The sequence below is a fragment of the Homo sapiens genome, chromosome 12, assembly GCF_000001405.40.
Source record: "Homo sapiens chromosome 12, GRCh38.p14 Primary Assembly".
Classification (NCBI taxonomy): domain Eukaryota; kingdom Metazoa; phylum Chordata; class Mammalia; order Primates; family Hominidae; genus Homo; species Homo sapiens.
In genome coordinates, this window is record NC_000012.12 from 121,491,722 (window position 1) to 121,508,779 (window position 17,058).

Below are 17,058 nucleotides of genomic sequence, written 5' to 3' on the forward strand. Positions count from 1 at the left end.
AAGCGGAGGTGGCAGTGAGCCGAGATTGCACCACTGCACTCCAGCCTGGTGACAAGAGCAAGATTCCATCTCAAAAAAAAAAAAAAAAAAAGTACACCTGAAGAAGATAATCAAAGAATTATGCAGAAGAGCACTGCTCAATAGAAATAACAGAAGGTAAGTCAGGCACTGTGGCTCACGCCTGTAATCACAACACTTTGGGAGACCGAGGCAGGCGGCTTGCTTGAGCTCAGGAGTTCAGCCTTGGCAACATGGCAAAACCTCATCTCTACCAAAACTACAAAAAACTAGCCAGGCGTGATGGCATGTGCCTGTGGTCCCAGCTACTCGGGAGGCTAAGATGGGAGGATCGCTTGATCCAGGGAGGCAGAGGTTGCAGTGACCTATGATTGCACCACTGCACTCCAGCCTGGGCAACAGAGTTAAGACTCTGTGTAAATAAATAAATAAAAGAAATAGAAGGTGAGCCACATAGGTACTTTTGAGTTTTTTTGTTGCCACATTTGAAAAGGTAAAAAGAAACAATGAAATTCATCGGAATAATCCATTTTGTTTCAACAATATATCAAAAATATAGTCATTTCAACTACAGTTGCCAGATTTAGCAAATAAAACTATAGTGCATCCCCAGGCTGAAGTGCAGTGGCGCCATCTCAGCTCACTGCAACCTCCACCTCCCAGGTTCAAGCAATTCTCTTGCCTCAGCCTCCTGAGTAGCTGGGATTACAGGCGCGTGCCACCATGCCCAGTTAATTTTTGTATTTTTAGTAGAGACGGAGTTTCGCCATGTTGGCCAGGCTAGTCTCGAACTCCTGACCTCAAGTGATCTGCCCACCTTGGCCTCTCAAAGTACTGGGATTACAGGCGAGAGCCACTGCACCAGGCCTGTAATAAGTGTTTGAAATTGACCAGACTGCCCAACATGGCAAAACTCTGTCTCTACTAAAAATACAAAAAATTAGCTGGGCATGGTGGCGGGTGCCTGTAATCCCAGCTACTCAGGAGACTGAGGCAGGAGAATCGCTTGAACTCCGGAGGCGGAGGATGCAGTGAGCCGAGATCACGCCACTGCACTCCAGCCTGGGTGACAAGAGCAAAACTCCGTCTCAAAAAAAAAAGAAAAAAAAAGAAAAAGAAAAGTGTTTGAAATCTGTTACAGCATACTTTTTTCTTTCTTTCTCCTTTTTGTTTTGAGACAGGGTCTCAATCTGTTGCCCAGACTGAAGTGCAGTGGTGCAATCACAGCTCACTGCAGCCTCAAGCTCCTGGGCTCAAGCGATCCTCCTGCTTAAGCCTCCCAAATAGCTGGGACTACAGGCATGCACTATCATGCCTGGCTTTTTTTTTTTTTTTTTTTTTTTTTTTTGGTAGAGATGAGTTCTCATTATGTTACCCAGGTTGATCTTGAACTCCTGGGCTCAGGTGATCCTCCCCCCTCAGCTTCTGGAGTAGCTGGAACAACAGGCATAAGCCACCATGCCTGGCTTCAGTGTTTTTTACAATAGCCAAAAAAAACCCCAAAAAAATCAGAAATTAACAAAATACCTCTTGGGGCTACTGAAGTCACAAATAATATTTAGAGTGCACTAACCTCAGGTCAGCCCTTGTCTGAAGGGTTTTGCATGCCTTATCTCATTTAGTTCTGACAACCACTGAAGAAAGTCTTGGTATAACCCATCTTTATAATCAAGGAAAGTAAGGCTCAGGACACTATGTAACTTGTCCAAGGAAGTAGTGAAGCTGCGTGGAGGCAGACGGATGGTACAGAGATGACCTGATACATATGTATCCCACCTAGGACCGCCTTTGGAAGGGTGCTCACCAAAACTGTTTTCTCTGGATGGTGGACTTTGAGGTGAGCACTGGATGAAAATTTGGCCTCTGCTGCCAAACTGACCGATCTTTGTGTACTTGGCTGTCCTAACGGGTGACTTGACCTTTTCAAGCCTCAGTTTCCTCATCTGTAAAATGACAGTCACAACTGTCTACCCCACAGAGTTGCTGAAGCGTAAATAAGATAAGGGCTGTGGAGGTCCAGACAACAAACTGCTCCTACAAAGTCCTCAACAATACAGCCATTATTCCTCTTCCTCATGTCCTGGTCCTTTCCCGTTTGATTAGACATTTTTTTTTTATTTTATTTTATTTTATTTTTTGAGATAGAGTCTCACTTTGTAGCCCAGACTGGAGTGCAGTGGTGCAGTCTCTGATCACTGCAACCTCCACCTCCCAGGTTCAAGTGATTCTCCTGCCTCAGCCTCCCAAGTAGCTGGGACCACATGTGTGCACCACCATGCTCGCATTTTTTGTATTTTTAGTAGAGACGGGGTTTTGCCATGTTGGCCAGGCTGGTCTCGAACTCCTGACCTCAGGTGATCCACCCGCCTAGACTTCCCAAAATGCTGAGATTATGGCGTGAGCCACCGCGCTCGACCGATTAGACATTTTTATGTTGAGCATCAACCAGTTTTACACACTGAGAAAAAGTTCCTTTCAAAAGAGGAGAAGACAGCCCATGAAGCAATTAAAGGAAAAGGGAAAAGGAAGGGAAGAAGCAAGGGAGTGAGGGAAGGAGAGACAGAAAATCCACCTAACCACAGGGAAAGGCGAGGTGTCAGCACCCCCCAGTTTTCCAAGTGACCACCAGGCGGCACTGTTCGCAGTTCCCACAGCTAGGTAAAGCAACCCCCTTTTAAAAACAAAAACATGGAACAAATCACCAAAATCCTTCATCTTAACTGCGGTGCCTTCATCTCAGGAGGCCCCATAGCTACCCAAAAAGTCGCGGCTGTTCACCCTACAGGAGGTGGGAAGGAGGTGGGAAGCGGCCGCCCGCTGCAGGCAGGCTGCGTCTTACCTTTGGAGTCTTCTTTGGCCAAGTCACCACAGGGACCCCAGTGATGGCCAGACTAGGGTCATCATCTGCGTGCTCCTTCAGGACGTTCTGTGGCCAAACAAAGCATCCATATTAGCCCAGGGGGAAGGGGAGGTCTCTGAAGACAGCTGAACAGCAGACATAGTCCAGCAAGGATCACACTCCACAAAGTCAGCGCCTGGCCATTGACTCCACCACCACCCACACATTCAATAGAAACCAAGTCACTAGGGTCCCCTGGGGCCCACGAAACACACAACGTTCCCCTCTGCCCTCTACAAAATTTCTTTAACAAAGCAAATCACATACCTCCCTGTGACTTCCACGTATGTATCACCCATGATCACAGTTATGACATCTAGCACTTGTCCAGAGCGTCGGGGACTCACACACAAACTTTTTCTTTTTTTTTTTTTTTTGAGACAGAATCTTGCTCTGTCACCCAGGCCGGAGTGCAGTTGTATAATCATAGCTCACTACATCCTTGACCACCTGGATCAAGTGATCCTCATGCCTTAGCCTCCTAAGTAGCTGAGACCACAGGTGCATGGCACCCTCCCTGGCTAAATTTTTTTTTTTTTTTTAGACAAAGTCTTACTCTGTCACCCAGGCTGGAGTTCAGTGGCGCAATCTGGGCTCAAGCAACTTCTGCCTCTTGGGTTCAAGCGATTTCCCTGCCCCAGCCTCCCGAGTAGCTGTGAATGCAGGTGTGCACCACCACGCTGGGCTAATTTTTGTATTTTTAGTACAGACAGGATTTTGCCATGTTGGCCAGGCTAGTCTCCAACTCCTGACCTCAAGTGACCCACCTGCCTTGGCCTCCCAAAGTGCTGGGATTACAGGCGTGAGCCAACACGCCCAGCCATAATTTTTAAATTTTTTTGTGCAGACAGGGTATATGCCATGTTGCCCAAGCTTGTCTCAAACTCCTGGCCTCGAGGAATCCTCCCTCCTTAGCCTACCAAAATGCTGGGATTACAGGGGTAAGCCACTGTGCCTCATTTAATTCCTACCAAGCACTCTGGGAGGGCTGGGCGGTGGCACTACGGATCCTCTAATGTTCACAAATTTAACTACGTACTCAGCGAAGCAAACAAAACCAACCTCCAGACCTTGATGCCTTCATAGAGCCATGACTCCGTCCTTTAGTCAGCTTGCTACATGTACCCTAACCCTGCTGTGTGACGACGTGTAAATGTTTTTTGCAACATGGGCCCTAAATACAAGAAGATGCTTGATCTGGTCTGACTGAGGATGGAGTCACGTGGCCAAATTGTGGCAGAAAAATGGGCTGCGTTGGACGGACTGCCAGGCTGCTTGGCGATCTCCCACGAGGCACACTGTGTTCACTCTCGGTGAGCAGTTTGAAGGTTCTTCAAAGGGAATTCTCACTCTGCCAGACTTTGGCCTTGTGTGGCTGGACTTTAGAACATCATCCAGGTATAAAATGCTACCCAGCTGAATTATCTAACAGCTAACTTACAGGGGAGGTTACCAAGGCCCAGAAAGGCTCACAGGATTTTAGTGCTACCCCAAACTATGAAGACAGACCCCCAGAACCCCACTCTCTGGCACCAGACTTTCTGCCCCAGGACCACCCACATAGGGTTTTTTTTGGCTACATCCACACATCCACAGCACCCCACAAAAAAATGTGTTTAAGCACACACAGAACTATCACTGGCCCATTCTGATCCTGGACCACGGATTGTTGAATTGTACAAAAACATTTTTTCCGGACATTTAAGAACAGAGTAAATCATACAGAAGCACTGAGCAGGAAGAGCAGAAGCGCTCAGGAGACAAATGAAGGTGAAGATTATTTTAATTCACCTTTCCTAATTCACTTCACTAGAAATGACTCCAGCTTACTTCCAGTTTACTCTGCTCATTGTCCTTTTTTTTTTTTTTTTTTTTTGAGACAGGGTGTGACTGTCACCCAGGCTGGAGTGCAGGGGCACAATCTCAGCTCACTGTAGCCTCAAACTCCTGGGCTCAAGTGATCCTCCCACCTCAGCCTCCTCAGTAGCCGGGACTACAAGTGCGTAACACCAAGCCCAGCTAATTGTATTATTTGTACAGATGGGTTCTCACCATGTTGCACAGGCTGGTCTTGAATTTCTGGGCTCAAGCAAAACACCTGCCTCAGCCCCCCAAAGTGCTGGGAGTGCGGATGTGAGCCCCCCAAAGTGCTGGGATTGCGAGTGTGAGCCTCCCAAAGTGCTGGGATTGCAGGTGTGAGCCCCCCAAAGTGCTGGGATTATAGGTGTGAGCCCCCCAAAGTGCTGGGATTGCAGGTGTGAGCCCCCCAAAGTGCTGGGATTATAGGTGTGAGCCTCCCAAAGTTCTGGGATTGCAGGTGTGAGCCACTGCACGCCTATCATACTTTCCTGATCATAATTTGCTTGCATGATTTTTCTTTTTTTTTTTTTGAGTGATTTTTCAAGATGTGGCTGTTAACCTGAAGAACTTCCTCCTTAGCCCACAGGAAACAGCAAACAGCACAGTGGTCAAGAATGTTGGCTCTAGAACTGGCTCCAGGGGTTTAAATCCCAGCCCCGGCACATACAGCTTCCCCAAAGTCCCATAGTCAATGTCAATGATTTGTAAATGCTATTTATAAAGTGTCTTTATTCACTGCTATATCCTCAAAGCCTCACATAATGACTAACCTAGAGTAAGCTTCCAATAAACAAAGTTGGGTTTTGTTTGTTTGTTTGTTTTTTGAGATGGAGTGTTACTCTGTCACCCAGGCTGGAGTGCAGTGGCACCATCTTGGTTCACTGCAACCTCTGCCTCCCAGGTTCAAGCGAGTCTCCTGCCTCAGCCTCCTGAGTAGCTAGGATTACAGGCGTGTGCCACCACCCCTGGCTAATTTTTGTTATTTTTAGTAGAGACAGGGTTTCACCATGTTGGCCAGGCTGGTCTCAAACTCCTAGCCTCAAGTGATCCACCCGCCTCGGCCTCCCAAAGTGCTGGGATTACAGGTGTGAGCCACCGCACCTGGCCCCAGAGTTTTTATAAAATAAAGCCACAAATACTAAAAGAGGGACAGTCTACAAAATGCCTGAACAGATCTCCTCAAAACTGTCAAGGTCATCAAAACAAGGAAAGTCTAAGAAACTATGGCAGCTAAGAGAAGACTGATGAGACTAAATGTAATATTGTACCTTGGGTGGGATCCTAGAACAGAAAAAAAAGTAAAAATGGTTTAACTCTGGCCAGTTGCGGTGGCTCACGCCTGTAATCCCAGCACTTTGGGAGGCCAAGGCGGGTGGATCACTTGAGGCCAGGAGTTAGACCATCCTGATCAACATGGAGAAACCCCATCACTACTAAAACTACAAAAATTAGCCAGATGTGGTGGTGTGTGCCTGTGGTCCCAGCGACCTGGGAAGCTGAGGTAGGAGGATCACTTGAACCCAGTAGGCAGAGGTTGTAGCGGGCCGAGACCATGCCACTGCACTCCAGTCTGAGAAACAGAGTAAGACTTTGTCTCAAAATAAATAAATAAATAAATAAATAAAGTTTTTCCCTCTTTCTAAAAAATCATTAAGAACAAATGAGCTTTCCAGAAATACACTCAGGTTTAGCCAGAGACCTCCCATTCCCCCCTGCATGTGGGCCCCAAATGGCTGGGGGAGAAGACCGTCACTTCCACAGGACATTTCAGCCACTTAGTCCAATCCCAAACTCTAGGATTGGGTAACAAATTCAAGATGTAACCGGACTGGAACAATAGGGAACGGTGAGGCCTGTGACAAACTGGAAAACACATGGCCCATTTAAAAAGGGGCAAGGCTACCCAACTCCAGCTTACCTCCTATGGGGATGAAAAGCCCACCAGATCTTTAATTTTTCAGAAGAAATCAAAGATGCAGAGTTTTATTTGAAATCTCTGCATTTTTAAATGTTAACAACTAACTAAAACTTTAAAAAACCCACTGTGAGTGAAACATCTGTGTGCTGGTTTGGCCCATGGGCCACCAATTTGCAAAGATGGCTCTGCATATGACTGAAAGTAATGCCCACCCCCCTTTGTTTTCTTTGAGTTTCCTTCTTAAATGTCTTACGATTTCTTGTCATTTCAATATCAGATTGGAGTCTAACTCACAAGCATTGAGGTAGAGGCCTCTTTAGAGGGATATTTAGTTACAAAAAGTTATTACTGCAGTTCTAAGTACTAGACATAATTAACAAATTAATAATAATAAATAATACATTTTTAAAGACTCTTTTAAAAAAACAGAGAGTTGCCCAGGCTTGAGTGCTGCGGTGTGATCACAGCTCACCACAGCCTCGAACTCCTGGGCTCAAGCAATTCTCCCACCTCAGCCTCCCAAGTAACTGGGAAAAGAATGCACCACCACGACCGACTAATTTTTTAATTTTTTAGTAGAGACAGGTTCTTGCTATGTTGCCCAGGTTGGTCTCAAATTCCTACGGTCAACTGATCCTCTGGCCTACTAAAGTGCTGGGATTACAGGTGTGAGCCACCACATCCAGTCAATAAATTTTTTTTTTTTTTTTTTGAGATGGAATCTTGCTCTGTCGCCCAGGCTAGAGTGCAGTGGCACAATCTTAGCTCACTGCAGCCTCTACCTCCCCAGTTCCACCGACTCCCTGCCTCAGCCTCCTGGGGAGCTGGGATTACAGGCACACACCACCATGCCCAGCTAATTTTTGTATCTTTTTTTTTTTTTTTAGTAGAGACAGGTTTCACCATGTTGGCCAGGCTGGTCTTGAACTGCTGACCTCAGGCGATCCACCCACCTCGGCCTCCCAAAGTGCTAGGATTATAGGCGTGAGCCACCACACCCGGCCAATAATTTTTTTAATTACAATTGTTCTTGGTAAGCCTGGGAAACACAGCGAGATCCCATCTCTACAAAAAAAATTTAAAAATTAGCTGGGCATGGTGGTGTGCACCTGTAGTCCTAGCTTCTTGGGGAGATTGAGGTGGGAGGATTGCTTGAGCCCAGGAGTTCGAGGCTGCAGTGAGCTATGATCACACAACTACACTCCAACCTGGGCAAAAGTAGGAGACTCTGTCTCTAAATAATAATAATGGCCAGGTGTGGTGGCTCACGCCTGTAATTCCAGCACTTTGAGAGGCCAAGGTGGACAAATCACCTGAGGTCAGGAGTTCAAGACAAGCCTGTCCAACATAGTGAAACCCCATCTCTATTAAAACTACAAAAAAATTAGCCAGGCATGGTGGCACGCGTCTGTGGTCTTAGCTGCTCGGGAGACTGAGGCAGGAGAATCACTTGAACCCGGAGGCAGAGGTTACAGTGAGCCAAGATCGCACCACTGCACTCTAGCCTGGGTGACAGAATGGGACTCTAACTCAAAAAAAAATAATTATTTAATAATAATTAAAAATAAAAAGAATTTTCCCCAAGTGCCCTGAGCCCAGGATCTCACACTCATACCTCCCGTTTCCCTCTGTGTGTGGCCCCCCTGCGGCCACCAGGGGGCGCCCTGGGCTCTGTCCCTCAGGGAAGAATTTTCATTTGTGTATGACAGGCTCCGGGAAAAGAAGATTATTCTAATTGGAGATTTCATCTCTGAGAAATAGGTTGTGCTGGAGGGAATCATGTCACTGGCTTCCCTAGGCCCTGCTTGAATTTATACACTCCCTGGGGCTCTCGGCAGCACAGATATAAGGAAGGCTGGGTGCCCTCACCAGCTCAGCCCCCTAAGGGTTACACCTTACACGCCCGTCCCCTCCGAAAGTCCAGGGCAGGTTTTCGAAGAGAAAGATCCAACCGTGGGACCCTTTCTGCGGGAAACTGCCCCGTACTGGACCTGACGAGATAACCACAGACAAGGGATGGCTGGGCCTGGGCGGCCCTTTATGCCAACTTCTCTCAAAGAGATAATTAGTTAACAATGGATTCGGGTCCCACTGCTTCCTAGGCTGGGGCTTTAATAATCAGAAACTCCCTCCATGCCATGACTAAAAATATCCCACTGTGAAAACAAGGCAGGCATCAGGGAAGAATCGCCATCCACAGGCCGGCAAAGGGAGGCGCAGCTTGGGGAACTCCTGCTCTGGGGAACCAGCACCCTCCGGGGTGCCCCCTTCTATGGGGAAAGAGACCCACCAGGCATCAACGCACCTGGGGTCTCTCAAGTACCCTCCCTCCATCCCAGCCCCACCGTCTGTGAAAACCCATCTGAAGTAGCTTGAATTGTGTCCCAAAAAATATGTGTTCAGGCCAGGCACAGTGGCTCCCGCCTGTAATCCCAGCACTTTGGGAGGCCGAGGCGGGCGGATCACTTGAGGCAAAGAGTTCGAGACCAGCCTGGTCAACATGGTGAGACCCTGTCTCTACTGAAAACACAAAAATTAGCCAGGCATGGCGGCACATGCCCATAGTCCCAGCTACTCAGGAGGATGAGGCAGGAGAATTGCTGGAACCCAGGAGGCGGGGGTTGTGGTGAGGCGAGATCACACCATTGAACTCCAGCCTGGGCAACAGAGCAAGATTCCATCTCAAAAAAAAATTTATTTTCAAGGTGAAATAATCCTGAATTTAGGGTAGACCCTAAACCCAATGTCAAGTGTCTTTATAATAAGAGAGATTTGGACAGAGACACAAAGAAGAAATCTACAAGAAAATGAAGGCAGATGGGTGTGGTGGCACCTGCCTGCAATCCCAGCTACTTGGGAGGCTGAGGCACGAGAATTGCTTGAACCCGGGAGGCGGATGTTGCAGCAAGCCAAGATCACGTCACTGCACTCCATCCAGCCTGTGCCACAGAGCAAGACTCTGTCTTCAAAAAAATAAATAAAATAAATACAAAGACCAAAAATAAGAAAAGAAAATGAAGGCAGAGACTGGAGTGATGCAGCCACATCCAAGGAATACCAAGAGCTGCCAGAAACCAGAGGAGGCCCGGAAGGATTCTCTTCTAGAGACTTTGGAGCGAGCAGAGCCCCGCTGACTCTTTTATTTCTGACTTCTGGCCCCCCAGGACTATTAAATAACATACTTGGTATTTTTTGTTGTTGTTTTTTGTTTGTTTGTTTTTTGAGACAGAGTCTTGCTCTGTCGCCCAGGCTGGAGTGCAGTGGCACAACCTCAGCTCACTGCAACCTCCGCCTCCTGGGTTCAAGCGATTCTCCTGCCTCAGCCTCCAGAGTAGCTGTGATTACAGGCACGCACCACCATGCCCTGCTAATTTTTTTGTATTTTTAGTAGAGATGGGGTTTCACTATGTTGGCCAGGCTGGTCTCGAACTCCTGACCTCATGATCCGCCCGCCTCGGCCTCCCAAAGTGCTGAGATGATAGGCGTGAGCCACCGTGCCTAGCCGAGAGTGTGATGATTTTAAAAAGCCAACTGCGCTGGTGATCTGGGCTTTACACCTCACTGTTCTACATGTCAGTAAGACCCAGAAGAGGCCGCATCAATGAACAGGTGTGTTCCAGGGTCGGGAACTGACGACCTCAAGAGAAAAAAGCTGTGAACACCTTCCACAGTCATGGGTTTCACAGGCTCGCACATTTGACCCTGCACCGGCCTGTTTTCATTCTATGGTGTCTGAAATTTTTGGCTCTAGTTTGCTGAGCTATTAAAGGCCCTGTGCTAAAGTGTCACCTCACGGAGTCCTCATGACCATGATGCTGTATTCCAAGTACTCCATTTTACTGCATTCCTCAAGAGCATTCGGCTGGTTTACAGATGGCACAGGGATTCGGTCTAATGCAGAACTTTTGGTCTTCAAAGAACACCTGGCCACACAGTGGCTCACACCTGTAATCCCAGCACCTGGGGAGGCCGAGATAGGCAGATTGCTTGAGGCCAGGAGTTCGAGACCAGCCTGGCCAACATGGCGAAACCCCACCTCTATTAAAATACAAGAATTAGCTGGGCGTGGTGGCGCATGCCTGTAATCCCAGCTACTTGGGAAGCTGAGGCAGGAGAATCACTTGAACCGAGGAGGCGGAGGTTGCAATGAGCCAAGATCACACCACTGCAGTCCAGCCTGGGCAACAGAGAGAGACTCGGACTCAAAAAAAAAGGTATCACCTGGCTGGATGAGGTGGTTCACACCTGTAATCCCAGCAGTTTGAGAGGCTGAGGTAGATGGATTGCTTGAGCCAAGGAGTTCGAGACCAGCCTGGGCAGCAGAGCGAGACCCCCATCTCTACCAAAAAAAAAAAAAAAAAAAAAAAAAAACTTAAATGAACTGAGCATGGTATCGCATGCCTGTAGTCCCAGCTACCTCGATCACCTGAGCTAGGAGGTCGAGGCTATGGAGAGCTGTTACTGTGCCACTGCTCTCCAGCCTCGGTGACAGAGCAAAAGACTCCATCTTGGTAAAAAAAATAAAATTTTTTTTTTAAAAAAGGAAATCAGGTTTTTTTGTGGGTTTTTTTTTTTTTTTGAGCAGAGTTTTGCTCTTGTCACCCAGGCTAGGGTGCAATGGCGCAATCTCAGCTCACTGCAACCTCCACCTCCCAGGTTCAAGTGATTCTCCTGCCTCAGTCTCTCTAGTAGCTGGGCCTACAGGCGTGCGCCATCACGCCCAACTAATCTTTGTATTTTTAGTAGAGATGGGGTTTTGCCATGTTTGCCAAGCTAGTCTCGAACTTCTGACCTCAGGTGATCCACCTGCCTTGGCCTCCCAAAGTGCTAGGATTACAGGCGTGAGTCACTGCGCCCGGGCTGTGGTGTTTTGTTTTTTTTTTTTCTTTTTTGAGACAGGGTCTGGCTCTGTCACCAAGGCTGGAGTACAGTGGTGCCATCACAGCTCACTGCAGCCTCAAACTCCTAGGCTCAGTAAATCCTCCTGCATCAGCCTTTCAAGTAGCTGGGACTACAGGCGCATGCCACTACTCCTGGCTAATTTTTTGTTCCTTTTGTTTTGTTTTGTTTTGTTTTTGTAGACTGGGGTCTCACTATGTTGCCCAGGGTGGCCTCAAACTCCTGAGCTCCAGCCACCCTCCCACTTTGGCCTCCCAAAGGGCTGGGATTACAGGTGTGAGTCACTGTGCACAGCCTAAACAGCAATCTTTAACTTGGAGGGGGGATGAGGGGGCTGCTGAGAGGTGAGAAGGGGGAAGGAAAGAGAAAGGGCAGGGGAAGTGTGGGTAGCTGGCCAAAGCCAGCCTGGCTCACCTTTAGCTGCAACCTATGTTCATGGCTTCCTTGTTCCTTAAAGTAATTCAGTGACACAGGTCCCTGCTGTTATGCCCATATCATAGTGAGGACACTGCAGTTTCACCCAAGGGTAAGTGCTTCAGAATGGCCATAAGAGTCCCAGAATCTGGTCCCCAGAAGGACAAAGCACATCCTCATTTTCCATACAGGTGAACAGAAAGGCGGACTGGCTTGCCCAAGGCCACACAGCGAGTAGCTAAGAGCAGAAACCAAACTTGAACTCCAGGGTCTCCTCTGTCCTGAGTTCTTGTCTTTCCCATCTCATACAGGCCAATATCTTGGCACTTCCATCACAGTAAGTGTCTATATTTATCATTTATGTTGAGACAGGGTCTCTGTCTGATGCAATCACAATTCACTGTAGCCTCCACCTCCTGGGCTCAAATGATCCTCCTGCCTCAGCCCTCTAACGCTGTACAGTCTCCCAGGTAGAGGTGCACACCACTATACATGGCTAATTTTTTATTTTTTATAGACATAGGATCTTGCTATGTTGCCAAAGTCAGTCTCAGACTCCTGGGCTCAACCAGTCCTCCTGCCTCGGTCTCCCAAACTGCTGGCATTACAGGCATAAGCAACATAGCAAGACGTAGTCTCTACAAATAATGAAAAAATTAACTGGGAGTAGTGGCATATGCCTGTAGTCCCAGCTACTTGGGAAGCTGAGATGGGAGGATTGCTTGAGCCTGGGGGGTTGAGGCTGCAGTGAGCTATGATTGTGCCACTGTACTCCAGGCTGGGTGACAGAGTGAGACCCCCATCTCAAAAAAAAACCAAAACCTACGTTACAATGAAATATCTAGAATAAGTAAATCCACGGGACAGAAAGCAGATTCGCAGTGAAGAGGGTATGGGACGTGGCAGCTCTTAGGTATGGGACTGTCCACAGTGATAAAAAGGTTCTGGAATAAGATAGTGGTGGTGGTTGCACACGATTGTGAATTGTTGGCCGGGGCGGTGGCTCATGCCTGTAATCCCAGCATTTCAGGAGGCCAAGCCAAGATTACCTGAGGCCTGGCCAATGTGATGAAACCCCATCTCTACTTAAAATATAAAAATTAGCCACCGAGCGCGGTGGCTCACGCCTGTAATCCCAGCACTATGGGAGGCCAAGGCGGGTGGATCACGAGGTCAGGAGATCGAGACCATCCTAGCTAACATGGTGAAACCCCGTCTCTACTAAAAATACAAAAAAATTAGCTGGGCGTTGTGGCAGGCGCCTGTAGTCCCAGCTACTCAGGAGGCTGAGGCAGGAGAATGGCGTGAACCCGGGAGGCAGAGCTTGCAGTGAGCCGAGATCACGCCACTGCACTCCAGCCTGGGCAACAGAGCAAGACTCTGTCTCAAAAAAAAAAAAAAAAAAAATCAGCCAGGTGTGGTAGCACATGCCTGTAATTCCAGCTACTCGGGAGGCTGAGGCACGAGAATCGCTTGAACCCAGGAGGCAGAGGTTGCAGTAAGCTGAGATCACATCACTGCACTCCAGCCTGGGCAACAGAGTGAGATTGCATCTCAAAAAAAAAAAAAAAAAATTGTGACTGTACCTAATGCCACTGACTTGGACACCTTAACATGGTTAAAATGGTAAATTGTGTTACGTGTGTCTTACCATAATTTAAAAAATACATCACACGAGGCTGTCCAACCACCTGAGCCCAGGGGCTCAAGATGAGCCTGGGCAACACAGCGAGACCTCTGTCTCTACAAAAAAGCTGTGATCATGCCACTGCACTCTAGCCTTGGTGACAGAGTAAGACTCTGTCTCAAAATTTAAAAACAACAACAAAATCACACAAATGAAAGAACAAATGGGTTTTTAGTATAAGCCAAAACCTAGCCATCTAGGGACTGAGTTGAATTGGGGGCTGTCTCCAATCACCAGGGCACTAGTTACCCTGAGCCACCACAAGCAGCAGCCTCTGAGGTCCCGGGAGAGAGCCCATCTTTCTGGAACACAAGCCAAAGATCCTAGCAGGTCAGTCATCAACAGGAAACCACCACAGCCCAGAAACACGAATCCCTCAATGGCAGTGGGGGAACTGGGCATCGGCTATGAATTGTCTCAGACCCATATTCCTGAGCTGTTTTTTATTTCTTGGCCAAAGCAAAAGAATCCTCAACAACAGAAAAGAGAGAACAAGGCGACAGAGCGTACATCTGGGGAGAACAGGCTGCCCACCCTCTGTGGCAGCACTCCCACCCTGAAAGTCAGTCCTGGGTTCAAAATCGTTTTTTTGTTTGCTTTTTTATTTATTTGAGACAGGGTCTTGTTCTGTCTCCCAGGCTGGAGTGCAGTGGCGCACTCATAGTTCACTGTAGCCTAGAACTCCTGGGCTCAAGTGATCCTCCTGCCTCAGCCCCTTGAGCAGCTGGGGCTACAGGCGCACACCACCACACCTGGCTAATTTTTGTTTTTGTACAGATAGGGTCTTACTATGTTGCCCAGGCTGGTCTCAAACTCCTGGGCTCGTGTGATCGGCCTTCCAAAATGTTAGGATTACAGGTGTGAGCCACTGCAGCAGGCCTCAAAATCTTTTCTGGGTCTCCAGGGAGAGTGAGGGGCTAATGCCTGTCAGACTAATCAGAAACTCTCCTGTTCTGGAAGAGGTGATGGCACCCACGTCCCCCAGGCAAGCATCTGGCCACACAACATTTAGAGACACTAGCAGCGGTCCCAATTTTCATGGAACCCTCAGGAGGCCTGTCCACCTAATTTACAAGCTCTTCAGCCTGAAAAGAGCCTCATTAGACAAGGCTAAACTAAATATCTCTAAAGACAGGTAAGTTCTGGGGAGGCCGAGGCAGGCGGATCACAAAGTCAGGGGATCAAGACCATCCTGGCCAACACGGTGAAACCCCCATCTCTACTAAAAAAGATACAAAAGACCAGGCGCGGTGGCTCACACCTGTAATCCCAGCACTTTGGGAGGCCGAGGCGGGCGAATCACCTGAGGTAGGGAGTTCAAGACCAGCCTGACCAACATGAAGAAAACCCATCTCTACTAAAAATACAAAATAGCCGGGTGTGGTGGCGCATGCCTGTAATCCCAGCTACTAGGGAGGCTGAGGCAGGAGAATCACTTGAACCCCAGAGGTGGAGGTTGTAGTGAGCCGAGATTGTGCCATTGCACTCCAGCCTGGGCATCAAGAGTGAAACTCCATCTCAAAAAAAAAAATTAGCCCGGCGAGGTGGCGGGCACCTGTAGTCCCAGCTACTCGGGAGGCTGAGGCAGGAGAATGGTGTGAACCCGGGAGGTGGAGCTTGCAGTAAGCCGAGATCACGCCACTGCACTCCAGCCTGGGCGACAGAGCGAGACTCTGTCTCAAGAAAAAAAAAAAAAAAAAAGACAGCTAAGTTCAATAAATGAGCTAAGTGACTAGGTTATACAAAAAAGACAGCGTGGGCAACATGGGAGACCCCATCTCTACAAAAATTACAAAAAAATTAGCCAGGGGTTGTGGCATGCCTATGGTCCCAGCTACTCGGGAGGCAGGGGTAGGACAATCACTTGAACCCGGGAGGCAGAGGTTGCAGTGAACCAAGATCATGTCACTGCACTTCAGCCTGGGCGACAGAGCAAGACTTCATCTCAAAAAAATAAAAGTACTCCAAAGGGTTGTTGGAAGGTTTCAATGTGTTTGTACAAGGAAAACACACCCAACAGCACCAAGTCATTGAGATGCCTCATTTCATATTATCACGAGCTGCCCGTGATTCCCCTGTGGGGAAGGAGGAAGTCTGCGCTGCTTGCGCTTTTTCTAACCCCTACCCCAGGCCTCCTCTACATCATCAAAGGGTCTAAGGTAAGTCCAGCCTCAGGCCAATCAGGTAGGTAGAGGCGAGGGATAGGAGGAGCCAAGTTTCATCCCTAGGAGGACATCTGTTCCCAGAACCAGCGACACCACACAGAAATAGATCACAGACACAAAGATGCTTTTAAAGGCAAAAATAGGCTAGGCCAGGCACAGTGGCTCATGCCTGTAATCCCAGCACCTTGGGAAGCTGAGGTGGGAGGATCGCTTGAGCTCAGTAGTTTGAGACCAGCCTGGGCAATGTGGTGAGACCCCATCTCTACAAAAAAATTAAAAATTAGCCGAGCATGGTGGCATGCACCTGTAGTCCCAGCTACTTGGGAGGCTGAGGCAGAAGGATCACTTGAGCCTGGGAGGTCGAGGCTGCAGGGAGCCAAGCTCGCACCACTGCATTCCAGCCTGTGCAACAGAGTAACACCCTGTCTGTCTCAACGGTAAAAAAATAAAGTAAAAAAGACTTTCCAAAAGCATGGAAAGACATTTCTTCTTCAGATTAGTATGGTTGTTTTGGGTTTTTTTTCAGGCAGGGTCTTGCTCTGTTGCCCAGGCTAGAGTGCAGTGGCGAGACCATGGCTCCCTATAGCAGTGACCTTCTGGGGTCAAGCAATCCTCTCTCCTCAGCCTCCAGAGTAGCTGGGACTACAGGCACAGGCCACTATGCCTGGCTAAATTTTTTATTTTTTGTAGAGATGGGGTCTCCCTATGTTGGCCAGGCTGGGCTCAAACTCCTGGCCTCAAATGATCCATCTGCCTCAGCTTCCCAAAGTGCTGGGATTAAGGCCTGAGCCACCGTGCCTGGCCCGCACCCAGTGAATCTTAATATATCTTTATCCCAGGCCCAACACAAGGTTTCCTAAGTAAATACAATGAACAAATGAACTACCAATCCTGAGTACTTTACAGCCACCGAAGAAGAAACTTAAATTCAGTTTCCAACCCCAGGAGGCAGCTAGCTGGCTTCCCTTGGGCATCAGACATTGGAGAAGGACACCCAGACGCCTCGGAGGCCTCAACCAAAAAGCCTTACTAATGCTGAGACAAGAGGCAGTTCCACACAGCGGTAGACACACAGAAGCTCTGCAGTCACCCCCGGGTCCTCATCCCAGCTCCACCATCCACTTACTGTGTGACCTCAGGCATGCCCCGTACCCTCTCTGAGCCTACTTCCTCATCCATTAAATGCAGGTCATAATGA

The 17,058-nt window shown here is 48.3% G+C and overlaps 1 protein-coding gene across 46 annotated transcripts in view, besides 6 other annotated features; it reads right to left on the bottom strand.

Annotated features, from left to right (window-relative positions):
- KDM2B (lysine demethylase 2B) overlaps nucleotides 1-17,058 on the bottom strand; it is a 173,819-nt gene that overhangs the window by 83,261 nt on the left and 73,500 nt on the right. For all 46 annotated transcript variants that reach the window (XR_007063140.1, XM_047429682.1, XM_047429681.1 and 43 more), the window contains one exon: nucleotides 2,858-2,944. Coding sequence is in view for 45 of the 46 variants with exons in the window: in XM_047429682.1 (XP_047285638.1) it covers nucleotides 2,858-2,944 (87 nt within the window). In the remaining variant the exon portion in view is untranslated. The remainder of the gene's footprint in view (nucleotides 1-2,857; nucleotides 2,945-17,058) is intronic.
- Nucleotides 8,224-8,923: an enhancer, noted in NCBI's record as "H3K27ac-H3K4me1 hESC enhancer chr12:121937748-121938447 (GRCh37/hg19 assembly coordinates)". NCBI's record gives its function as "activates a minimal SCP1, AML or CMV promoter by ChIP-STARR-seq in naive and primed H9 embryonic stem cells {active_cell/tissue: H9 hESC(naive and primed)}" and the evidence as "EXISTENCE:reporter gene assay evidence [ECO:0000049][PMID:30033119]".
- Nucleotides 8,275-8,374: an enhancer, noted in NCBI's record as "active region_7166". NCBI's record gives its function as "activates an Ori minimal core promoter by ATAC-STARR-seq in GM12878 lymphoblastoid cells {active_cell/tissue: GM12878}" and the evidence as "EXISTENCE:reporter gene assay evidence [ECO:0000049][PMID:35858748]".
- Nucleotides 8,385-8,444: an enhancer, noted in NCBI's record as "active region_7167". NCBI's record gives its function as "activates an Ori minimal core promoter by ATAC-STARR-seq in GM12878 lymphoblastoid cells {active_cell/tissue: GM12878}" and the evidence as "EXISTENCE:reporter gene assay evidence [ECO:0000049][PMID:35858748]".
- Nucleotides 8,475-8,534: an enhancer, noted in NCBI's record as "active region_7168". NCBI's record gives its function as "activates an Ori minimal core promoter by ATAC-STARR-seq in GM12878 lymphoblastoid cells {active_cell/tissue: GM12878}" and the evidence as "EXISTENCE:reporter gene assay evidence [ECO:0000049][PMID:35858748]".
- Nucleotides 8,924-9,622: an enhancer, noted in NCBI's record as "H3K27ac-H3K4me1 hESC enhancer chr12:121938448-121939146 (GRCh37/hg19 assembly coordinates)". NCBI's record gives its function as "activates a minimal SCP1, AML or CMV promoter by ChIP-STARR-seq in naive H9 embryonic stem cells {active_cell/tissue: H9 hESC(naive)}" and the evidence as "EXISTENCE:reporter gene assay evidence [ECO:0000049][PMID:30033119]".
- Nucleotides 10,873-11,372: an enhancer, noted in NCBI's record as "H3K4me1 hESC enhancer chr12:121940397-121940896 (GRCh37/hg19 assembly coordinates)". NCBI's record gives its function as "activates a minimal SCP1, AML or CMV promoter by ChIP-STARR-seq in naive H9 embryonic stem cells {active_cell/tissue: H9 hESC(naive)}" and the evidence as "EXISTENCE:reporter gene assay evidence [ECO:0000049][PMID:30033119]".